The following is a 26,905-nucleotide window of genomic DNA, read 5'->3' on the forward strand; positions in this document are numbered from 1 at the left end:
TGCTGAGAAAATTCACCATTACCAAGCCACCACTACAAGAACTGCTAAAAGGAGCTCTAAATCTTGAAACAAATCCTGGAAACACATCAAAATGAACCTCTTTAAAGCATACATCACACAGGACCTATAAAACAAAAATAAAAGTTAAAAAACAAAAACAAAAAAACCCTAAGTACACAGGCAACAAAGAGCATGATGAATGCAATGGTACTTCACATTTCAATACTAACATTGCATGTAAATGGCCTAAATGCTCCACTTAAAACATACAGAACCGCAGAATGCGTAAGAACTAACCAACCAACTAGCTGCTGCTTTCAGGAGACTCACCTAACACATAAGGACTCACATACACTTGAAGTAAAGGGGTGGGAAAAGGCATTTTATGCAAATGGACACCAAAGACGAGCAGGGGTGGCTATTCTTATATCAGACAAAACAAACATTAAAGCAACAGCAGTTAAAAGAGACAAAGAGGGACATTATATAATGATAAAAGGTCTCGTCCAAAAGAAAAAGATCACAATCCTACACATATATGCACCTAATGCTGGAGCTCCCAAATTTATAAAATAATTACTACTAGACCTAAGAATGAGATAGACAGCAACACAATAGTAGTGGGGAACTTCAGTACTCCACTGACAGCACTAGACAGGTCATCAAGACAGAATGTTAACAAAGAAACAAGGGATTTAAACTATACCTTGGAACAAATGGACTTGACATATATATACAGAACATTTCATCCAACAACCACAGAATACGCATTCTATTTAACAGCACATGGAACTTTCTCCAAGATAGACCACATGATAGGCCACAAAACGAGCCAAAATAAATTTAAGAAAATTGAAATTATATCAAACACTCTCTCAGACCACAGTGGAATAAAACTGGAAATCAACTCTAATAGGAACCTTCAAAACCATGCAAATACCTGAAAATTAAATAACCTGCTCCTGAATGAGCATTGGATCAAAAATGAAATTGACATGGAAATTAAAAAATCGTTTGAACCAAACAACAATGACACAACTTATCAAAACCTTTGGCATACAGCAAAGGTGGTGCTAAGAGGAAAGTTCATAGCCCTAAACACCTACATCAAAAAGACTGAAAGAGCACAAACTGACACTCTCAGGTCACACCTCAAGGAACTAGAGAAACAAGAGCAAGCTAAACCCAAACACAGCAGAAGGAAGGAAGTAACCAAGATCAGAGCAGAACTAAATGAAACTGAAACAAACAACAAACAATACAAAAGATAAATGAAACAAGAAGCTGGTTCTTTGAAAAGATAAATAAAATTGATAGACCTTTAGAAAGATTAACCAAGAAAAGAAGAGAAAAAATCTAAATAACCTCACTAAGAAACGAAACAGGAGATATTACAACTGACACCACTGAAATACAAAAGATCATTCAAGGCTACTATGAACACCTTTACATACATAAACTGGAAAACCTAGAAGAGATGGATAAATTCCTGGAAAAGAATACAACCCTCCTAGCTTAAAATCAGGAATATTAGATACCTAAACAGATCAATAACAAACAGTGAGATTGAAATGGTAATTTACAAATTACCAACGAAGAAGGTCCAGGACCAGAGTCACAGCAGAATTCTACCAGACATTCAAAGAAGAATTGATACCAATCCTTTTGACACTATTCCACGAGATAGAGAAAGAAGGAACCCTCCCTAATTCATTCTATGAAACCAGCATCACCCTAATAGCAAAACCAGGAAAGGACATAACCAAAAATGAAAACTACAGACCAATATTTTTGATGAACATAGATGCTAAAATCCTTAACAAAATACTAGCTAACCAAATCCAACAACATATCAAAAAAAATAATCCACCATGGTCAGGTAGGTTTCATATCAGGGATGCAGGGATGGTTTAACATATACAAGTCAATAAATGTGATACACTACATAAACAGAATTAAAAACAAAAATCACATAATCATCTCAACAGAGGCAGAAAAAAGCATTTGACAAAATCCAACATACATTTATGATAAAAACTCTCAGTAAAATCAGCATACAAGGAACATACCTTAATGTAATAGAAGCCATCTATAACAAACCCACAGCCAACATAATACTGAATGGGGAAAAGTTGAAAGCATTCCCTTTGAGAACTGGAACAAGACAAGGATGCCCACTCTCACCACTCCTCTTCCTCACAGTATTGGAAGTCCTATCCAGAGCAGTCAGACAAGAGAAAGAAATAAAGGGCATCTAAATCGGTAAAGAGGAAGTCAAACTGTCACTGTTTGCTGACGACTTTATCATTGACCTCAAAAACCCTCAAGGCTCCTCCAGAAAGCTCCTAGAACTGATAAAAGAATTCAGCAAAGTTTCCAGATAGGAGATTAATGTACACAAATCAGTAGCTCTTCTATACACCAACAGCGACCAAGTGGAGAATCAAATCAAGAACTCAACCCCTTTTACAATAGCTGCAAAAAAGTTAAAATACTTAGGAATATACCTAACCAAGGAGTTGAAAGACATCTACAAGGAAAACTACAAAACACTGCTGAAAGAAATCATAGATGACACAAACAAATGGAAACACATCCCATGTTCATGGATGGGTAGAATCAATATTGTGAAAATGACCATACTGCCAAAAGCAACCTACAAATTCAATGCAACCCCCATCAAATACCACCATCATTCTTCACAGAATTAGAAAAAACAATTCCAAAATTCATATGGAACCATAAAAGAGCCCACATAGCCAAAGCAAGACTAAGCAAAAAGAATAAATCTGGAGGCATCACACTACCTGATTTCAAACTATACTATAAGGCCATAGTCAACAAAACAGCATGGTAGTGGTATAAAAATAGGCACATACACTAATGGAACAGAATAGAGAACCCAGAAATAAACTGAAATACTTACAGCCAACTGATCTTTGACAAAGCAAACAAAAACGTAAAGTGGGAAAGGACACCCTTTTCAAAAAATGGTGCTGGCATAATTGGCTAGCCACATGTAGGAGAAAGAAACTGGATCCTCATCTCTCACTTTACACTAAAATCAACTCAAGATGGATTATGGATTAAGGACTTAAACCTAAGACCTGAAACTGTAAAAATTCTAGAAGATAACATTGGAAAAACCCTTCTAGACGTTGGCCTAGGCAAGGATTTCATGACCAAGAACCCAAAAGCAAATGCAATAAAAACAAAGATAAATAGCTGGAACCTAATTAAACTAAGGTGCTTTTGTATGGCAAAAGGAACAGTCAGCAGAGTAAACAGACAACCCACAGAGTGGGAGAAAATCTTCATAGTCTATACATCTGACAAAGAACTAATATCCAGAATCTACAATGAACTCAAACAAATCAGTAAGAAACAAACAAACAATCTCATCAAAAAGTGGGCTAAGGACATGAATAGACAATTCTCAAAAGAAGATATACGAATGGCCAACGAACATAGGAAAAAATGCTCAACAACTAATAATCAGGGAAATGCGAATCAAAACCACAATGTGATACCACCTTACTCCTGCAAGAATGGCCATAATCAAAAAATAAAAAAACAGTAGATGTTGATGTGGATGCAGTTAACAGGGAACACTTCTACACTGCTGGTGGGAATGCAAACAGCCACTATGGAAAACAGTGTGGAGATTCCTTAAAGAACTAAAAGTAGAACTACCATTGGATCCAGCAATTCCACTACTGGGTATCTACCCAAAGGAAAAGAAGTCATTATACGAAAAAGATACTTGCACATGCATGTTTATAGTGGCACAATTCACAATCGCAAAATCGTGAAACCAACCCAAATGCCCATTGATCAATGACTGGATAAAGAAACTGTGAGATAGATATATATATGTGTATATATATATATATGATGGAATACTATGCAGCCATAAAAGGGAATGAATTAACAGCATTTGCAGTGACCTGGATGAGATTGGAGACTATTATTCTAAGTGATGTAACTCAGGAATGGAAAACCAAACATTGTGTGTTCTCACTGATATGTGGGAGCTAAGATATGAGGATGCAAAGGCATAAAAATGATACAATGGACTTTGGGGACTTGGGGGGAAGAGAGGGAGGGGGGTAAGGGATAAAAGCCTACAAATATGGTGCAGTGTATACTGCTGAGGTGATGGGTGCACCAGGATCTCACAAATCATCACTAAAGAACTTACCCATGTAACCAAATACCACCTGTACCCCAATAACTTATGGAAAAATATAAAAAAAGAAAGGAGATCTTTATATTTAAGTATGTGTAGTGTATATATCTATATCTGCATATATATATATATCTGCCTCTTTATCTATATATATTTAGCCATATATATATATATATAAATAAATAGATCATAAAAGTAAAGGGTATATATTTACTTGCACTTTCTATGATTTTAGCAAAATATATAACATTGATATATGATTAGGCTGATGCTATTATTTTAAAAGAATCATGGAGGAAGTAAAAGTAAAACCAAAAACTATATAATCATCTCAATAGATGCAGAAAAAGCTTTTGATAAAATCCAACATCCCTTCATGATAAAAACCCTCAACAGACTAGGCATTGAAGGAACGTACCTCAAAATAATAAGCACCATCTGTGACAAAACCACAGCCAACATCATACTGAGTGGGCAAAAGCTGGAAGCATTTCCCTTGAGAACCAGAACAAGACAAGGATGCCTGCTCTCACCAGTCCTATTCGGCACAGTACTGGAAGTCCTAGCAAGAGCAATCAGGCAAGAGAAAGAAATGAAGGGCATCAGAAAGGAAGAAATCAAACTATTTCTCTTTGCTGATGATATGATTCTATACCTGGAAAATCCTAAATACTCTGCCAAAAGGCTCCTGGAACAATCAGCAACTTCAGTAAAGTTTCAGGATACAAAATCAGTGTGCAAAAATCAGTAGTATTTCTATTCACCAATAACATTCAAGCTGGGAGCCAAATGAAAAACACAATCCAATTTACAATAGTAGCATAAAAAATTAAATACCTAGGGATACAGCTAACCAAGGAGGTGAAAGAGCTGTACAAGGAGAACTACAAAACACTGCTGAAAAAAATCAGAGATGACACAAATGAAAAAATATTCCATGCTCATGGATTGGAATCATTAATATCATTAAAATGGCCATCCTGCCCAAAGCAATGTACAGATTAAACACTATTCCTAACAAACTACCAACATCATTTTTTCACAGAATTAGAAAAAACTATTCTAAAATTCATATGGAACCAAAAAGAGCCCAAATAAACAAGCGATCCTAAGCAAAAAGAACAAAGCCAGAAACATCTTATTACCCAGCTTCAAAATAGACTACAAGCCTACAGCAACCAAAAAAGCGTGATACTAGTACAAAAAAGACATGTAGATCATTGGAACAGAGCAGAGAATCCAGAAATAAAGCCAAACACCTACAACCGTCTGATCTTTGACAAACTTGACAAAAATAAGCAATGGGGAAAAGACTCTCTATTCAATAAATAGTGTTGGGGTAGCTGGCTAGCCATATGCAAAAGATTGAAACTGGAGCCCTACCTATCAGCACATAGAAACATTAACTCAAGATGGAATAGAGACTTAAATGTTAGACCTCAAGCTATAAAAATCCTAGAAAAAAATCCAGGAAAAACCCTTCTTGAAATCGGCCTTGGCAAATAATTTATGGCTAAGCCTTGAAGACCTATCCCAACAAAAACAAAAATTGATAATCGGGACTTAATTACACTAAAGAGCTTCTGCATAGCAAGAGAAACTATCAAGTGATTAAACAGACAACCTGTGGGAGAAAATATTCGCAAACTATGCATGTGACAAAGGTCAAATATCCCAAATCTATAAGGAATGTAAATCAACAACCAAAAAAAACAAATAACCCCATTAAAAAGTGGGCAAAGGACATGAACAGACACTTCTCAAAAGAAGACATACAAGCAGCCAACAAACATGAAAAAATGCTGAACATCACTGATCATCAGAAAAATGCAAATCAAAACCACAGTAAGACACCATCTCACACCAGTCAGAATGGCTTTTGTTAAAAACTCAAAAAATAACAGACGTTGGCAAGGCTGCAGAAAAAAGGATACATTTATACACTGTTGGTGGGAGTGTAAATTAGTCCAGCCACTGGTAGAGAGCAGTTTGGAGATTTCTCAAAGAACTAACAGCTGAACTACCATTTGACCTGGCCATCTCATTCCTGGGTATATGCAAAGAAAAATCAATCATTCTACCATAAGGACACATGTGTGTTCATCACAGTGCTATTCACAATGGCAAAAACACGAAATCAACCTATGTGCCTATCGACAGTGGACTGGATAAGGAAAATGTGGAGCATATCCACCATAGAATGCTGTGCAGCCATAACAATGAGGAAATCATGTCCTTTGCAGCATCATGGATGCAGCTGGAGGCCATTATCCTAAGCAAACTAACTCAGGAACAGAAAGCAAATACCGCATGTTCCCACTTACAGGTGGGAGCTAAACACTGAATCCACACGGACACAAGGATGGCAACAATTGACACTGGAGGCTACTGGGGCTGGAGGCGAGTAAGGGCTAAACTACCTACTGGGGACGATGTCCACTACCTGGGTGATGGATTCAGTCATACCCCAAACCTCAGCATAATGCAAGATACCTTTGTAACAAACCTGCCCATGTTCCTCCTTTTTCTAAAATAAAAGTTTTCAAAAAATAAAATTATGAGGCCAGGCATGGTGGCACATGGCTGTAGTCCCAGCTACTCCAGAGGCTGAAGAAGGATTTGGAGTCCAGCCTGGGCAACACAGCAAAATCCTGTGTCTAAAAACATAATAACAATACTATAAAATAAATAATTAAAATAAAAATAATTTTGGGTAAATCTTCACTCGGATTTAACCCTTGTGTGTTTATGTGGCTAGGCATCTGGAAAGCAGGAAACACAGGCAAGCGTTGATGCTGCAGTCTCGTGTCTGAGATCTGCAGGGTAGGCCGGACCAGCTGCAAACTCAGGCAGGATTTCTATGTTACTATCTTGAGGTAGAATTCCTTCTACTCCCAGAAATTTCAGTTTTTGCTCTTAGGGTCTTCAGCTTATTAGAGTAGGCCCACCTACATTATTGAGGGCAACCTGTTTCACTTTTTACCAAGTCAACTTATTGTAAATGTTAATCCCATTCACAAAATACCTTCACAGCAACATCTATAATGATGTTTGACCAAAGTGGGCACTTGAGCCTTGCCAAGTTATACATAAAATTAAACATCACAGGCATATTTTTTCAACCATAAGATTTTTGATTGACAGAGACATTTGGGATCAAAGATTATTTGTGCTATATAATTGAAATAGGTTAATAAACATTTTTCATTTTTTAGCAATAAGGAACCATATTTCTACTATGCTATAGAAACTTTGATTACATGAAATGTAATCTTACATGAAATTACTTACTGAGCACCTACCACATGCCAGAGACTATGGTAAGTGCTGATCACATGGCAGTGATCAAGTTCAATGCTGCTCTGAGAAGCCTGTTAGGGGGGAATTTAACCTGGCTGCAGCTGCTGGCTTGCAGGTCGATGGGTGGCCTTTTGATGAGGTGACATTTCAGCTAAGACTAGAATAAGTAAGACTTTGTCAGGTGAAGATGGAGATGGATAAGAACATTCCAGGCAAAGGAAAGAGCATAAACCAAAAGCTAGGAGTTAAGGAAATCGTGGAGTGTTTAGAGAGCTGAATGGAATCCCGTTTAGTACATACAGCAAAGAGAAAGAGGTAGAAAATCAAGCTGGAAAGATGAGCTGAGGCCAGACCCTTACAAGCTACACTAAGGACTTTTCAGTTTTATCTTAAGGGCAGTAACAAATACATGCACTAATCTATCCTGTTATTTTCTATTATGTCAAAGAATGAAACAGTGTAACTTATTAGAGAGGGAATGAATGCAGTGTAGAACATTACTTGCTGTCATCCTCATTGTTTCAAAACAGAGCATGTGATTAAACAAATCAATGAAGTATCACTTTATCTTTAAAAAGATGATTCCATTAAAATACAACTTCAGTCTAAAGAAACAGATCCATGTCTAATGTGGTCCCGGTTATGACATTTTTGTTTGTGATTCTGATCACTTCAAGAACCCTGCAGTACGTGCACTTTGTTTTGTGAATGAAAATTATGTGGTTGGCTATTCTAATCTAAAAAACAAAAACTCCTGGAGCACCATGAGTGGGAGCTGGGGTTCAGCTATGTCTTCCTGCTAAAATGACCTGATCACTCCCATCCTGGTGCTTAAATCCATTTATTTTTATAAGGGTTCAGAAGGCTTCTGAGAAAAGAATTCGTGGTAGGTACAAGATTGGGGTTCAGATATACAAGCAAGTCTTATAAAGAAGGGCTGGGAGTGGAGAAACAAAAGGCCAATTACAAGGAAGTCCTGTGTGGCCCAGAAGTGTCTTCAACCCAGTGGAAAAACAAGTGTGACAGTGACTCTGCGGGAGTCGCCAGACTTCAGACAGCAGCGATCGTGGCTGTTGAGGAACTGGACTCAACCCCGCCATGCTGGCAGCATGCAAGCTTGGAAATGAGCCTAGCAGAAGTGTGGCCTTTGTGGCGGGATCAAAGCAATGGGCTCAGGGCCCGAACTCAGAAGAGGCTGCAGAAGAAAGGGGAGCCTCTGCAGCCCTGTCCTGCAGCAGCAGCAGCAGCAGCAGCATCTTGGAAGTGACCCGGACAACACAGCTGCAGCTGCGGCATGGAGAGCAGGTCAGCAAGAGCAGGTACTGGCCTCCAAGGGCAATAGGAGGATCGTCCGGAATGTGCAGCGATGCTGTGATTTGCCCGAGAAGGGCCTGTGTGCTTGAAGCAGGCTAGTGGTGTGGGTTATTTGTCCAGGCCTGCCTTGCCCTGAGGCTTTTAATCAGAGTGCGGAAAAGAGAGCAGCGAAGCTGTTCTGGGAGAAACGTCATGACTGGCAGTTTGAAACATCTCCTGGGTTGTCACTGTCCCAAGCACAAAGCTCAAGCGTTTGTGGCAAGGCCCTATACTTTATGAGAGCTGGAGCAAATGATAGCAACCCAAACCTTAAAGGAGGCTTCACTCCCCAATATTTTACTCACCTCGGATGCTCCACATCAAAGCAGGCCTGTGCTATCGCTGTGAAGACCTGCCTGCGAAGCCAGGATGGTGAGTTGAGGAGGGATCCAGCCTCGGCAGGCCACTGTGCCAGAAACAGCCTCTCCCCATAACCATCAGCCATGATCTAATCATTGGAACCCCAAAGGAAAACTGGAAGAGAAATCCCAGAGGGTTCCTGGGAGCTCCCCCTTCTCAGCAACTTCTAAACTCCATTTTGCTTATAATCCAGAAACCCAGAGGCTTATCAAGGCAAAAAAAAAAAAAAAAAAAAAAAAAAAAAAAAAAAATTGTCTATCTATGCCATTGCCTACAAGAGTGGATGGAACCTTCCTTATATTCACATCACTGCAGTGCCATTCTAGTAATTTGCCGAGGGAACTGGACTTCTATAAAGAATGGCTAAACTACTAATCTAAGAGGGAAACTCTCAGTAGCCCACAGTGGTTGCATTCTTATTTAGCTGATAATTGGAATATATGTCCCTTTTCACCAGGCTCCTATGATAGACCATGTGAAGATCTGAACGTTATATACAGTTTCTTACTGTGAGTTTATCATTATGCTCAGCAGAAAAAGAAGAACCCCCCCTAAGGGTTGAGCTGTGGGCACATGACATATTCACAATTGTGGGGAATAAAAAAATTAGTGGATTGAAAATATTAAAATACAGTGGTCAAGAAATTCAACACATTAAAAGAATCAGGAAGAAACTTCAGAAACTTCCCCATCACAATTGTCATATTTAATTTAAAATAAAAACTTCAAATTGACTGCCACTAATTCATCTTTTTGGATAAATTGTGAGGAACTTTTTGGTGGAAAAATTACTTAAACCTGGCCTGATGATTATGAAAAAAAATTAATAGAGAAATTTTCTTTCTTATGTTACCCTATTGTAATCATGTTAATTTCAATTGTACTTATTTCTGCTTAAGATCATATTTCATTTGCATAAATGAAAAACAAAATCCAATAACTTTAAATGAATTTGCTAATCTTAAGGAAATAACCAGCTCCTTTAAACATGAATTAGACAATGGTTTCACACTATCATATTGCTAGACAGATAAGACTTAGAAAAAGAAAGAAAGCCGGTTGCAAAAGACTGTATTTTCTAAATATCTAATTCCTCACGGCATAATGTGCTTCTGAAAGCAAGTTTTTAATTATTAAAAAAAAATCAAACAATATCAGACCTTGACTTTGTAAATTAGACTATTGATGAAGTGCCTTTCCACTTCACTACTGTGAAGAGAATGAGTGTGATAAGGCCCCAGAAGTGTTACTTCTCTTTTGTTAGATTTATTCCTTCTAAATCAATTCCCTGGCCTTCTCACGTGTGTTTTCACCTCCCTGAGTGGCCAAAACAAACTTTTTTAAAGTTCTGTTCAGAAAAGCAATTACGAGTAATAAGTTACAGTCATAAGCATCAAGGTACAGATGGTTTAAATCTAGAGAGTATTACTAACAGGGCTATGAAAAGAAAATGTTGGGATGATTTTAAAAATTGAAGATCACAACCTGCTATGAATTTGTAGAAATGATTTCAGTGCCACCCATTATATCCTATAGGGAAGAAAACAGAGCACACACATGAAGCTTAATATTTAAAATGATATTGTAGCATGCATGTAGAGAAGTACACGTATCTTAATTGAATGGGTCAATAAATTTTTACATATGCACTATACATATATACATTTCCATATTGCTAGCACCCAGGTCAAAATATTGAACACTGTATTAGATCCTAGAGCTGACATAAAGCACCACACGCTAGGGGTGTAAGCAACAGAAACTTATGCCTCACAGTTCTGGAGGCTGGAAGTCCAGGATCAAGATGTTGGCAGGGTTGGTTCCTTCTGAGGCTCAGAGGGAGAATCTGTTCCATGCCTCTCCCAGCTTCCGGTGGTTGTTGAGAGTCTTTGGCTCTCCACAGCTCAGAGATTTGTCACCCCAATCTCGCCCTTCATCGTCACGTGGACTTCTCCTGTCTCTCTTCACACAGTCTTCTCTCTTTGCATGTCTGTCTGTGTCCAACTTTCTCATTTTTATCAAAACAGCAGTCATACTGGATCAGGGCCCACCCTAGTGATAACGTTTTAACTTGATTAGTTCTGTAAATATAAGGTCCCATTCTGAGGCACTGGGGGTTAGGAATTGACATATCTTTTTAGCAGGACACAATTCAACCCATGACAAATGCCTACAACACCTCATATGGATCCTTCCTACTTCTCAGCATAGACCAAACCCTCCCCGCAGAGAAGACCAGCGTTCTGACTTGTATCACATAGATTAATTTTGCCTGTTCTTTAACTTCATGGAATCATACACCATGTACTCTTTTTTGGGGGCTTCTTTTGCTCAACTTATCTATGATATTCATCCATGTTTCTGTAACAGCGATCACTTATTATTTTACAGCTGTGTAGTATTTGTTCTCTTGAAAATTTTGGTCGTTTCCAGTTCTTGGCTATTACAAATGATGCTGCCACTGGCTGTGGCACACATTGCCATTTCTCTTGAGCATATAACTGCAGAATAGACGTGCTTTAGTAGATACTGCCATACATTTTTAAAGGATGTTGTACCAAACTATGCTCCCATAGACATTTAAAGCTATACCTAACATTACACTTGTTTTTCTTTTATGGTTGATGTATTTCTTGGTCCTATTTTAAAAATTTTCTGCCTACACTATATCATGAAAAAAGTTTATGTATTTTTCCTAGAAGTGTTATTGTTCTTCTTTTCATATCATTCTTCTTTTCATATCTTAAATTGTTTTTTGTGAATGGCAAGAGGTAGGGGATTAAAGACTAAGGTTCATTTTTTGCTTTACGAATATTCAATTGCTCCTGCACTATTTAGTGAAAATACCATTTTCCCTTATTAAATTGCATTGGCAACTTTGTTGTAAACTAAATGACTTTACTTATGGAGGGGTGTATTTCTAGACCCCCTGTTCTGTTTCAATTGTTTCGTTATTTTTGCACCAATACCATATTGTTTTAATTACTGAAACTTTATAATAAATCTTGAAATATAGTAATGTAATTCCATCAACTTTGATCTTATTTTTCAAGATTATCATGCCTATTCTAGGTCTTTTATATTTCCATGCAAATTTTAGAATCAGTACTCAATTTACATAAGAATTAGTACTCAATTTACACAACTTAGACAAAACCTTAATGGGATTTTTCTTTGTATTTCATGTAATGCATAGATTGACTTAGAAATAGTTGACATGTTAAAAATATTGAGTCTTCCTATCCATGAACATGGAATTTCTCTGTTTATTTAGGTTTCTGTAACTACTGTTAAAATATAAACCATTAATGCTGTAGCTGCTTTGGCTGAAATAAAACGAGGATTCTTTGTAATGAGGGAGAGAGGGTAAAACGTGAAATCCGTTGATTGCTTCATTCAAAGGCCAATGAATGCATTACATAGGTTGAAGCCAGAAGATATTAAATTGTTATACTTTATGTAAGATATCATTAACGTGGTTAGCTTTATTAAACATGAATGTATTCAAAATACATGAGAATTATTATATGGAACCATAAAATACTTTAATACAAAAGGCTCCCTATTTATCTTGAGGCAAGTATATTTAAAAGAGAATTTTTCTTGTATAAAAAGACAAGTGTTCCAAATTTGCTGTCTTCTTCTATGAGGACAAGTAGCCAGTAGCATGCTGCCTAGCGTAACGTTCTCAAACTCAAAGTGTGCATCAGAAGCACCTGGACAGCTTGCAAGATACAGATTGCTGGGCCCTACCCCTGCAGTTTCTGATTGAGTAGGTCTGGAGTGTGGCCAAGAGTTTGCATTTATTACAGTTTCCCATGTGAGGTCTATGCTGCTGATCCACGTAGGGTACTTTGAGAGCCATTAACTTAGAACTTAGGGATATTTACACACACACACACACTTAATCTGTACCTTTTAGACAAGTGTAACCGCTTAAGAATAAATGAAAATGTAACTTTTTTTATTGTCGTGAAACATATGCAAAATTTACAATTGTTAAGCTTACAGTTGAGTGGCACTGAGTGCATTGACACTGCTGTGCGACCATCACTACCATCCACTGAACACCTTGTATTATCCCATACTAAATTTCTCCCCACTAAATAATAACTGTCCACTCCCGTTTACTGCCTCCCCTGGTAATCACCATTCTTTCTGTCTCTATGTATTTGACTACTCTAGGGACTTCATATAAGCAGAATGATTCAACGTTTGTCATTTTGCCTGACTTATTTCACTTAGTGTAATGTTTTTAAGATTCTTCCATGTTGTAGCATGTATCAGAATGGTACTCCATTTTATGGCTGAATAACATAGAAGTCTTTTTTAAAGCATGTGTTACATAGAGGATATTTTGAATGAATGTGTTTTTATAATGTAATTTGAGTGCGTTGGAAACAATGTGAGTCACCTATAGATACTCTTTTATCTTCTCCTTAAAAGTTGAAAACATAATTTAGAAACTTGTTTTAAAATCTGTCAAATGAAAGTCTTAAGTAGATTTTAAAATCATTTGTCAAAAATACATCAGCTGCCTTATAGTCTGCAAGAAGAATTGATTAACATCAGGCAAAACTGAAAATTTCTAAAATCCTCTCCCAATTATTGAATGGAATTGCAAAATGAATGTCAGCGTTTTTAAAAGGAACCAGTTTTGTTTTGTTTTGTTTTCAAGTTAATTTTTTTATTATACTTTAAGTTTTAGGGTACATGTGCACAACGTGCAGGTTTGTTACATATATATACATGTGCCATGTTGGTGTACTGCACCCATTAACTCGTCATTTAACATTAGGTATATCTCCTAATGCTATCCCTCCCCCTTCCCCCCACCCCACAACAGGCCCCAGTGTGTAGTGTTCCCCACTCTGTGTCCAAGTGTTCTCATTGTTCAATTCCCACCTATGAGTGAGAACATGCAGTGTTTGGTTTTTTGTCTTTGTGATAGTTTGCTGAGAATGATGGTTTCCAGCTTCATCCATGTCCCTACAAAGGACATGAATTCATCATTTTTTATGGCTGCATAGTATTCCATGGGGTATATGTGCCACATTTTCTTAATCCAGTCTATCATTTTTGCACATTTGGGTTGGTTCCAAGTCTTTGCTATTGTGAATGGTGCCATAATAAACATACGTGTGTATGTCTTTATAGCAGCATGATTTATAATCCTTTGGGTATATACCCAGTAATGGCATGGCTGGGTCAAATGGTATTTCTAGTTCTAGATCCCTGAGGAATTGCCACACTGTCTTCCACAATGGTTGAACTAGTTTACAGTCCCACCAACAGTGTAAAAGTGTTCCTATTTCTCCACATCCTCTCCAGTACCTGTTGTTTCCTGACTTTTTAATGATCGCCATTCTAACTGGTGTGAGATGGTATCTCATTGTGGTTTTGATTTGCATTTCTCTGATGGCCAGTGATGATGAGCATTTTTTCATGTGTCTTTTGGCTGCATAAATGTCTTCTTTTGAGAAGTGTCTGTTCATGTCCTTCGCCCACTTGTTGATGGGGTTGTTTGTTTTTTTCTTGTAAATTTGTTTGAGTTTATTGTAGATTCTGGATATTAGCCCTTTGTCAGATGAGTAGATTGCAAAAATTTTCTCCCATTCTGTAGGTTGCCTGTTCACTCTGATGGTAGTTTCTTTTGCTATGCAGAAGCTCTTTAGTTTAATTAGATCCCATTTGTCAATTTTGGCTTTTGTTGCCATTGCTTTTGGTGTTTTAGACATGAAGTCCTTGTCCATGCCTATGTCCTGAATGATATTCCCTAGGTTTTCTTCTAGGGTTTTTATGGTTTTAGGTCTAACATTTAAATCTTTAATCCATCTTGAATTAATTTTAGTATAAGGTGTAAGGAAGGGATCCAGTTTCAGCTTTCTACATATGGCTAGCCAGTTTTCCCAGCACCATTTATTAAATAGGGAATCCTTTCCCCATTTCTTGTTTTTGTCAGGTTTGTCAAAGATCAGATAGTTGTAGATATGTGGCATTATTTCTGAGGGCTCTGTTCTGTTCCATTTGGTCTATATCTCTGTTTTGGTACCAGTACCATGCTGTTTTGGTTACTGTAGCCTTGTAGTATAGTTTGAAGTCAGGTAGTGTGATGCCTCCAGCTTTGTTCTTTTGGCTTAGGATTGACTTGGCAATGTGGGCTTTTTTTGGTTCCATATGAACTTTAAAGTAGTTTTTCCAATTCTGTGAAGAAAGTCATTGGTAGCTTGATGGGGATGGCATTGAATCTATAAATTACCTTGGGCAGTATGGCCATTTTCACGATATTGATTCTTCCTACCCATGAGCATGGAATGTTCTTCCATTTGTTTGTATCCTGTTATTTCATTGAGCAGTGGTTTGTAGTTCTCCTTGAAGAAGTCCTTCACATCCCTTGTAAGTTGGATTCCTAGGTATTTTATTCTCTTTGAAGCAATTGTGAATGGGAGTTCACTCATGATTTGGCTCTCTGTTTGTCTGTTATTGGTGTATAAGAATGCTTGTGATTTTTGCACATTGATTTTGTATCCTGAGACTTTGCTGAAGTTGCTTATCAGCTTAAGGAGATTTGGGGCTGAAACAATAGGGTTTTCTAGATATACAGTCATGTCATCTGCAAACAGGGACAATTTGACTTCCTCTTTTCCTAATTGAATACCCTTTCTTTCTTTCTCCTGCCTGATTGCCCTGGCCAGAACTTCCAACACTATGTTGAATAGGAGTGGTGAGAGAGGGCATCCCTGTGTTGTGCCAGTTTTCAAAGGGAATGCTTCCAGTTTTTGCCCATTCAGTATGATATTGGCTGTGGGTTTGTCATAGATAGCTCTTATTATTTTGAGATACATCCCATCAATACCTAATTTATTGAGAGTTTTTAGCATGAAGGGTTGTTGAATTTTGTCAAAGGCCTTTTCTGCATCTATTGAGATAATCATGTGGTTTTTGTCGTTAAGGAACCAGTTTTGATTTCTTTTTGTTAAAGCTCTTCATAAATGATCTTTCTCAGGTACAAAAACTACTAAAATTGAGTAATGATTTTATCAAATAAAGTGAACGTAGGTCTAATTCTTTACATTGCTGTGTGCAGAATATTAAGCCAAGATTTTTTTAAATAAGGTATTTTCTAACATACTGTTCTTTCTAAATTATTGATCATATTTTTGTGAAAGCAAAAAGTATTTGCTATTATTTGATAACAAATATTTTAAAAATATAATTTCACCTTCATTTCATACTTTTCAAATTTTTATTTTTGCATGTTTTAGATAATAAATAATACATTAGTAGAGTAATACTGTAAAATCCCCACAAGTAAATAAATATGTATATGTCAAAGATACAGACTCAAACATTCTTATTAATAAATGTGTACAATCAAAAATATATGGACAGAGATGTCTGTGTGTCCCTGCGTATTTCCCTGCTCTAGTATTTAAGGTGTCAAAAGTTGTCTTGGTTTCACTTAAGATGATAACTTTGAGGCACAGAAAATACTTTTCTCCTGAGGGTTAAGGGTAGAGTCTTGAGGCCGTGAGGTCACCTACCCTGAGAGTAGCTTTTATCTTTTGTTCTCTAAAGTGTTCAGAATTCAGATACCACCTCCCTCTCCCAGGAAGCAAGTCAAGGAGAACTGTCAGACTGGGTATGTGAAGTGCTGGAGACAGGAGCCATTTCTGCACCAATATTTGAGGTCACATTCTCAATGGGAACAATTATCTAGTGACTCGAAAGTTTTCAAGTAACTACTTGAGCATGTGAAGAGCTAGCTAACAGCATTTCAGCATGCTGATGCTTCCAGTAAACCCATAAAAATAAGTATACATATTTATTTTATCCTTCTGACCTTATGCAGAGACATTTTCACTAGCTACAATAGTTACAGTGGGACTGGAAATATGAGAACAGGTAATGTCTATATGCTACCTGGAGAGGCCTGGCCTCCAGCCTCCTTTTAACGTGAAACCAGTGAGAGGAAGTGTCAGTGAGGAAGCTGGGCTCTGGGACCTGGGCCTGGGGTAAATGAGGAGCACACACAATGGGAGAAGGCCTAAGAGTAGCTTCACAGACTTTGGAAACAGAAGTTATGTACATTTTCACACAGGCTTCCTGAGAGTAGCCAGCCGAGATAAGGACATTCAGAAATCCGGTGGCAGAGGTGAGGCTCTGTGTGAACCAATTCTATGATGTTCTCTCATAGGCCTGGGACTTAGACTATTCTGTCCCCGCCCTCTGGATGTGACTGAATTCTGGCCAAGAAGATAGTGGCAGGAGTGATGGCCATGACTTAATAGCCTGCCACAAAACTTCTGCATCGCTGCCCACAGTTTTTCTTCCTTGTCTGCGTGGAAGGCCATGGGATTAGAACAGCAGCTCCAGGAAATGAAAGCAGCCTGGAGTCATCGCTTTCTGGAAAGTTGCCAGGGAAAAACCTAAGGAGGACCTAAATGAGACCATCTTATGAGTTTATTTTGTTAAACTGTTGAGATCTGGAGGATTTTTGAAAATTATTATTACTGAAGTACAGCTTAGTTGTTCTGATTCAAACAACACTCCCCTTAATAAGTGATCAGTGTGGCAGCTCCACAGCACACAAAAGGGAGTATGAGCAAAAAAAAAAAAAAAAAAAAAAAAAAAGAGTTTGCCTTTACTGTCTCAGAATTCAAAGTGCAGGTGAGAAACTTCAAAGGGACCCTGGACATGAGACATTCCCGGGACTTGCCAGAATAGACTCAACTCAAGCCACTCCACTACTTATCACATGCCAGGACTAACGTCACCCTAGGTGCTGACAATAAGGACACAAGAGGTTTGGAAATGGACAAGTAAAAAGAGTGGGCGGGAAGTTGCCCGAGTTTTGGCATCCTTCTATGACACATCTTAGCCATCGACCATTATGAGAATTGAATGAATAAGGTCTGTCGGATTCAAGTATCGGCATCCACCCCTACTTCTGTTATGTGATTACTGAACTTGAGGAAGTAAAGGGAGGAGAGGGCCAGTGGTTAAGGCCTCTGTATGTAACCCGGTATTGCATGCCCCATATGCATACAAAGTATCCATGTTCTGCCTGCAGAAAATCCTGGAAGATAGTAGCAAAATGGGGATAAATGGCATTACTCTATGGTTCTTTGCCTGGGATAGTTTTATCTGGAGATCCTTACCCAACTCCACCCTCATTTAAATCCTTAGAGCTTTATTTTTATTTTTTCTCATGCAAATTTATAGTATATATGAGAAAACTTGTGACATGTATATAACGCATAGTGATCAATTCAGGGTATTCAGGGTGCCCATCACCCAAGGACAATACATCTTTGTTAACTTATAGTCCCCCTACTCTGCTATCACACGTGGAATTTATTTTCTTCTATCTAATTATACGTTTGTGCCTCTAACCACTTCCCTTTATCCTCCCCCTTCCCCCTGCCCTACTCTCCCAGTCTGTTACCTATTTTTCCACTCTCCACTTTCACGTGTTCCAATTTTTTAGCTCTCACATGTAAGTGTGAACACATGATATTTGTCTTTCTGTGCCTGACTTATTTCACTTAATGACCTTAGGTTTCATGCATGTTGCTGCAGAACACATGATTTCATTCTTTTTCTATGGTCAAATAGTATTTCAGTGTGTGTATGTACATTTTCTTTCTTTCTTTCTTTTTTTGAGATGGAGTCTCGCTCTGTCACCCAGGCTGGAGTGCAGTGGCACAATCTCGGCTCACTGCAACCTCCACCTCCTGGGTTCAAGCGATTCTCCTGCCCCAGCCTCCCAAGTAGCTGGGATTACAGGCGCCTGCCACCACGCCCAGCTAATTTTGTGTTTTTAGGAGAGACGGGGTTTCTCCATGTTGGTCAGGCTGGTCTCGAACTCCCAACCTCAGGTGATCTGCCCGCCTTGGCCTCCCAAAGTGCTGGGATTAAGGCGTGAGCCACTGTGCCTGGCCATACCACATTTTCTTAATCCAATCATCCACTGACAGCTACTTAGGTTGATTCCATATCTTTGCTATTGTGAATGGAGTTGCAATAAATATGCAATGCTGGTATCCCTTTGAAATACTGATTTTTTTTGTTTTGTTTTGTTTTTTGAGACGGAGTCTCCCTCTGTCACCCAGGCTAGAGTGCAGTGGCGAGATCTCAGCTCACTGCAAGCTCCGCCTCCCAGGTTCACGCCATTCTCCTGCCTCAGCCTCCTGAGTGGCTGGGACTACAGGTGCCTGCCACCATGCCCAGCTAATTTTTTGTATTTTTAGTAGAGACGGGGTTTCACTGTGTTAGCCAGGATGGTCTCGATCTCCTGACCTCATGAGCTGCCCACCTCGGCCTCCCAAAGTGCTGGGATTACAGGCATAAGCCACCATGCCCGGCCTGAAATACTGATTTCTTTTCCTTTGGGTGGATACCCAGTAGTGGAATTGCTTAATCAAATGGTAGTTCTGTTTTTAGTTTTTTGGGGAAATCTCCATACTGTTTTCCATAGCAGCTGTACTAGTTTACATTCCCACCAACAGTGTGTAAGAATTTCCTTTTCTCCACATCCTCACCAGCATCTGTTATTTTTGTCTTTTTTATCATAGCCATTTGGACTGAAGGAAGATGATATCCACTGTAGTTTTGATTTGCATTTTTCTGATGATTAGTGTATTAGTCTGTTTTCATGCTGCTAATAAAGACATATCTGAGACTGGGCAATTTACAAAAGAAAGAAATTTATTGGACTTACAGTTCCATGTGGCTGGGGAGGCCTCACAATCATGGCAGAAGGCAAGGAGGAACAAGTCACGTCTTACATGGATGGCAGCAGGCAAAGAGAGAGCTTGTGCAGGAAAACTCCCATTTTTTAAAACTATCGGATCTTGCAAGACTTATTCACTATCATTAGAACAGCACAGGAAAGACCCACCCCCATGATTCAATTACCTCCCACCAGGTTCCTCCCATGACACATTGGAATTGTGGGAGTTACAATTCAAGATGAGATTTGGGTGGGGACACAGACAAACCATATCATTCCGCCCTGGCCCCTCCCAAATCTCATGTCCTCACATTTCAAAACCAATCATGCCTTCCCAATAGTCCCTCAAAGTCTTAACTGATTTCAGCATTAACTCAATAATCCACAGTCCAAGATCTCATCTGATTCAAGGCAAGCCACTTCCACTTATGAGTCTGTAAAATCAAAAGCAAGTCAGTTACTTCCTAGATACAATGGGGGTACATACATTGGATAAATACAGCCATTCCAAATGGGAGAAATTGGCCAAAACAAAGGGGCTACAGGCCTCATGCAAGTCAGAAATCCAGTGGGGCAGTCAGATCTTAAAGCTCCAAAATGATCTCCTTTGACTCCATGTCTCACATCCAGGTCATGCTGATGCAAGAGGTGGGTTCCCATGGTGTTGGGCAGCTACGCCCCTGTGGCTCTGCAGGGTACAGCCTCTCCCCTGGCTGCCTTCATGGGCTGGCGTTGAGCGTCTGCGGCTTTTCCAGGCCCACAGTACAAGTTGTCGGTGGATCTACCATTCTGGGGTCTGGAGGACGGTGGCCCTCTTCTCACAGCTCCACTAGGCAGTGACCCAGTAGGGACTCTTTGTGTCAACTCCAACCCCACATTTCCTCTCTGCACTGCCCTAGCAGAGGTTCTCCATGAGACATGCTAGCCCAGCCCCTGCAACCAACTTCTGCCTGGATATCCAGGCATTTCCATACAACTCATGATGTAACATTGCTTCCCAATATTTTTGAAAGTTCTTCCAGTAGTAGAGGAGATGAAGCATGTAGTTCTGACAGGGTTAGGGTTAGAGCCAAAGGCAGCCCAATACTTCAAAGATAAAAGTCTAACTTAAGTAACATGATTCAGTTTAAAGATTAATGTGAATTTTTCAATCTATTCCATCTCTTTTTCCTAAGAAAAAAAAATCGCTGTTTTAAGTAATGCTTTAGCCATAAGTAAAATCATGCTCCAGGAGGATGCGTTGCATGTATATGTGGTTTCTTGTACCATTCTAAGTATGAGGAAAGACGTGGTCCTGTTAGACCATTAGGCATGGGCCTAAATGATGAAACCCAAATGTCTTTGTGTGATGTGTGTGAATTCGTGACTCTGCAGTATGTCTCCAATCTCTCTGACCAGTCCTAACTTGTGCTGTGTCCTGTGCTCCAGCCTTTGACACTTTGACCCTGTTCTGAATGCCAAGTTCTTTCATTCCTCCATGCCTCTGTACACATTGCTTCCTCGGCCTGGGTTTTCTTTTCTTTGCTTATCCAATTATTAACTTGGTATTTGGTCTTCAAGATTCATTCACATTTCACCTTCTCAACAAAGCCCTTTTCCACCCTAGACACTCCCTCCTTTTCGCATTCTCTCCATTCCTCTCTGTTCTCATGTTACGCACCGTATTTCTTTCTATTTCCCCTCATCATACTGGACTTCTTGAGGACAGGGCAGTATCTCATTCATCTTGTACCCTCAGTGCAGAGGAAGATGCCTGGCATATATTGCCTGATCAATAACCAGCTGAATGAGTGACATTTGTTTCTTTTATTCATATAGTCCCCATGCAGGTGTTTTTATCTTTCACTTTATTCTAGTATTATTTTTCCAATTTTTTTTACATCATATTTCTCACAAGCCTACTAAGATATTCATTAACTATATGAAAAGTTTGTTCTTGTGGCAGTTATGTAATGATTCAATGCTGCACACGTATAAACGGCCCACGCTGAGACATACGATCTCCTTAAGAATTGTTTTCTGCTGCTGATTTGATCTGTATCTCTCAAGACTGTGTTTTCACTTACTTAAATTGAGTGGTTATCCCAGACAGATGGCCCTTACCAATCACAGAAACCAAGTTATTATAAACAAAATCTAATTGCAAAGACAATTTTTGCTCTTTTATTGCGTTTTTTAATATCTTTGTGTTATCCATCTTTCAAAACGCTGGTGGAAAATCACATGGTTCAACTATTTCAACTATCTCATTGTCTGTGTCCAAGAGATTTAAGGTAGGAAAAAAAACATTTTGTGATTTCCATTTGGAGAAAACTGTTCTGTTTTCATTATGTACTAGTACGGAAAACATAGCTTCAGAATATTTAGTTATAAATTTCCTATTTAATAAGCTCATTTTGCTATCAATTTTTTTTCTAGTTACTTAGCATAATATTTTTCACATTTAGATCTAACTGTGTTATTCCCCTGCTGAAATCCTTCCTTGGATGGCCTTGAGAATGACAGTCAAACTCCTGAGCACGGTCTCAAGGTCTTTTCAGCCAGGCCTCATCTGTCCCCCAGCTCTGGGTGCACACAGCACTATCACCACTCAGACCAGACCACTCATGCATCCCCACATATTCTCACATCTCTCTACGTTTACACGTGTCACTTCCTCCACCTATGTTACACACACACGTGCACACAGTCTCACACACCCATACTCATTCACACCCACACACTCATGCCCACACGCACACTCACACCCACTCACACGCACACACACATGCACTCACACCCACACGCGTGCACACACACCCACACTCACACCCACAGGCACACAGTCATGCCCACATACACACTCACACCCACATGCACACACTTATGCCCACATGCACACACCTACACGCACACACTCATGCCCCCCCACACACACCCACGCACACCCATGTGCACACACGCCCACACACTCACACCCACACAAGCTCACGCACACACGTGCACACACACCCCACATGCTCGCACACACACCCCCACATGCTCACACACACACGCCCACACTCACACACACACTCATGCCCACAGTCACACACTCACACCCACACTCTCACACACACACACTGTTACCCTTGCCCCGTTTATGGCCTATTCCTTCTCAGCTCACTCTAAGGGTGGCCTCTTTCTGGAAGCCTTGTCTTTTTTTGGATTGTCAGTGTAACATACAGAGAAATAGATGTATATGGTCAATCCTGAAATTGGTTATTACTGTCTGTTAGTTAAGTCAGCAAATGAAAATATACATTTAGAAATATGCTTATTTGGCCGGGCACGATGGCTCGTGCCTGTAATCCCAGCACTTTGGGAGGCCAAGGTGGGCAGATTACCTGAGGTCAGGAGTTCAAGACCAGACTGGCCAACATGGTGAAACCCCGTTTCTACTAAAAATACAGAAATTAGCTGGGTGTGGTGGCAGACGCCTGTAGTCCCAGCTACTCTGAAGGCTGAGGCAGGAGAATTGTTTGAACCCGGGAGGCCGAGGTTGCAGTGAGCCAAGATCACACCACTGCACTCCAGCCTGGGCAACAGAGTGAGATTTCGTCTCTCAAAAAAAAAAAAAAAGAAAAGAAATATGCTTATTTGAATGATTTCCCTTGGCTACCACACAAAGCCTAAAGTCATCAGAATCCCATGTGCTCCATTCCTCTCATTATTCTGTTAGCTAGGGCCTTACATTCACCATCTGTCAGACACCAGGTAAAACTAACCCTAGATCATTTTTTCAATATGAAAGAATTAAAAATAGTGTCGTTTTCACCCACAGCTTAGTTGTTACTATTCCTTCCTGAATAGGGCCATTTGCAGACAGGACTGCTCTACTGAAGACACTTATGACTTGGTGAGAAAGTAAGTCTCAAACACGTGTAAGGAAAGGCGAGCTATGCACATGTGTGTGCATGCATGTAATCACGGCATCAGTGAAGGTGCACCCACAGCGGGGCTGAGGGATTGTCTGTGCAGCTGTGAGTAGCCATCAATACTAGTGTGAAGGAAGGAACGAGGTGGAGTGGATGAGGCAGTTAGAAACTTTTCAGTGGCATGTCTTGAAAGCCCAGTTAAAGAAGAAAAATACCCAAAGAGATGGGACATCTGTGAAAGGCTTGTTAATTTCCAGATAATAAATCTGCTGTAGTAGATGAAATATGCTGGATAAGGGGAAGGTGGAAAGGGGAATCTAAGGTCGGGCCCAGGTGGTCTGTGTGTGGGGGAAAGGGAAGGACACAGGGCTGCCCCCCACTGAGGAAGTGGTGTCAGGCTCTGCACATTCTTTGACCAGCCCGATAAATATGGCGGGGAGGGTAGGCCACACTTGTGCTCAAAGCCAGCCATTCAATGACATCCCTTCCAGCACAGAATGAGATCAAAATCCATGGTGTGGCATGTAAGGCCCTACAGGCTCTGGCCTTTACCTACCATGTAGCCTACTGCTAAGTCTGCTTCAGCTACAGGGACCTCCGGTTTTTCCTGGATCATGTCGAGCTCTGTCCTGCCACAGGGATTTTGCACTTGCTTTTACCTCCGCCTGGCACTCTTTCTCAGCTACTCATGGCTGGCCCTCTCAACCCTTCATGTGGCCGCCCAGTATCACCTTGTCAGCAAGTCCTTCTTCACCATTCTAATTCATCCAGCACTTGCCCATCTCCATCCACTTCTAGCCACGGAGATACATTTATTTTCCTATATAGCACTTGTTGCTGCCTGACATTATAACAAACGTGTTTTGGCTTACTTGTTTACTGTCTTTCTCTCTACCTATAATGCAAGCCTTCTGAGGGCAAAGACTCCCTTCTGTTGACTGATGTATGACCAGAACCTAGACAAATGCCAGCCTCTGAGTGGGTGCTCAGCAGATCCATTCTGGAAAATGGCCAGGGCAGTGAATGAGCAGAATGAGCATGGGAGGGGAAGTTGTAAGAATTAAGAAAAGTTAAACCCAGAGGACTGTAAACAAGGCACAGAAATAAGCTTTGGGGGACAGAGGCATCTGGTCTAAGATTAAGATTGGAGAAGTCACCTCTGTAAGTCAAGATGAGACTGAAATCTGTCTGCTTTTATTCTCAGCTTCTAGCTTCTTCACTCAACAGCAATTTATTCATTTTTTTTTCCAACACTGTGTGAAGACAGGACTGTCTCCGCCTTATTTCCATTGAATTGTCCACGTGATAGATATCAGATACCAAAGTGGGTTTGAGGCAGACCTCCATGTGCCAATTCCAAAACGAAATTGTGAAAAACAGGGACCTCTCAGCCAGATTCGAGATATAAAAATGACCAGGATACAGGAGTTCGACACCAGGCTGGCCAACATGGTGAAACCCCATCTCTACTAAAAATACAAAAATTAGCCAGGCGTGGTGGCAGGTGCCTATAATCTCAGCTACTTGGGAGGCCGAGGCAGGAGAATCACTTGAACCAGGGAGGCGGAGGTTGCAGTGAGCCAAGATCGCACCATTGCACTCCAGCCTGGGCGACAAGAGCGAAATTTCATCTCAAAAAACCACAAAAACAAACAAACAAAAAACCCAGGATATGGAGAGAACAGAAATGTTTGGAAATATATTTCTTTGCCAGGAGTCGCCTTCTTCATCTCAAGGCTAGTGAAGAGAATCTTCCACGTGAACACCAGAGAGCTCTGAAATGTGTTCTCCACAGTCGGGAGGTGCAAAAGATTAGTGTCTGACTCCCATATTGGGTACACAGATGGTGAAAAATGTGCCCACTCCACACAGCTCCGTGGACATTTTCCTCTCCCAGGACTTACTGATCCAAGACATACGTCTGGGGACCAAATATGAATGACAACAAAACTAGAGAGATGGAGCATTCTGGGTTTTTCCCAAGGGAATTTCTGCAAAGAGCGAGAAGACCCCAATACTGAGATTCTGTTAAGGGTAGGATGCTGCAGGAGTTGAACTGAGGGTGCTGGAGGTAATGCAAAGAAAGGACTGTCCCCAGTGTCATAGGAATTGCCATTGGAGGGAACACATGAGGAATCTTCTAACCATCCCCAACACATCTGTGGGAGAGAAGATTTAACCATCTACCAGCCGCAAGGATGATGAAGACACAGACAGATAAAGAAATGTCTTATCATCTTCTCTCTTCCTCACCACCTTGCCTTCCCCACTTCGATGTAGGCAGCCATAAAACCACTAGATAGTGATAGGGGAGGAAATGAGGGAGGAGGGATGGTGTAAGCCAACAGGCTTCCTTTCTCTTCCCTCTCTGTCTTAACCAGAGGCCGGTGACCACCCATTTCCAGCCTGAGCATAGACGAAAGGGAAGTTGTACTTTAAATGGAGATGCAAGGATGTAGAATTCCTCTTTCTCTTCTCATCACTTTCCTTCCTGAACAATTCAGTGCAGGAGGTGAGAGATTGATTATATACAGGAGAATTGATCAAATAAGCAAACCTATTTTTAATGATTCTTAATACAAGGATTGTTGTATTACAATAGAGGGAGTTACAAATATGGAAAAGAAGATGACTCGAATAAACTGATGATGTTGGATTGGAACTGGAGATATCAGTGTGAACTCAAGCCTCAGATGGACAGATACACATAGATGTAACTGTCTGTATACTTATAGATATTTTCTAGATCCCTGCATTGAGAGCATCTGGGAGCAGTGTCACCCCAACATCAGCGAGCACGCCTAACATCCAGGTCTTGCTTCTAAATAATATTCTCAACTAACAGAAACCAGACCTTCTTGGAGAAATGGCTGATTCCAAGAATGGAGCAAGGAAGTCCAAGATGAGGCTGGAATTCTTTGTGTCAGAAGATAAAGAAGTTCTCAAAAAATGTCAGAGACATGTTAAAAAAAAAAAAAAAGAGAAGCCAGCTTTAATGCACTCCTACCTGGCAAATTGGAGATAATTTGATCATTAAAATAAATAATAGTAGTAATAAACCATAATCCATTG

At 39.9% G+C, this 26,905-nt stretch overlaps 1 long non-coding RNA gene across 1 annotated transcript in view, besides 1 other annotated feature; it reads right to left on the reverse strand.

The window, feature by feature from the left end:
* Positions 1–26,905, reverse strand: part of F11-AS1 (F11 antisense RNA 1) — a 214,961-nt gene that overhangs the window by 97,268 nt on the left and 90,788 nt on the right. The window lies entirely within an intron of this gene.
* Positions 22,792–23,292: an enhancer, noted in NCBI's record as "H3K4me1 hESC enhancer chr4:187327311-187327811 (GRCh37/hg19 assembly coordinates)". NCBI's record gives its function as "activates a minimal SCP1, AML or CMV promoter by ChIP-STARR-seq in primed H9 embryonic stem cells {active_cell/tissue: H9 hESC(primed)}" and the evidence as "EXISTENCE:reporter gene assay evidence [ECO:0000049][PMID:30033119]".

The sequence above is a fragment of the Homo sapiens genome, chromosome 4 (assembly GCF_000001405.40).
Source record: "Homo sapiens chromosome 4, GRCh38.p14 Primary Assembly".
Classification (NCBI taxonomy): Eukaryota; Metazoa; Chordata; class Mammalia; order Primates; family Hominidae; genus Homo; species Homo sapiens.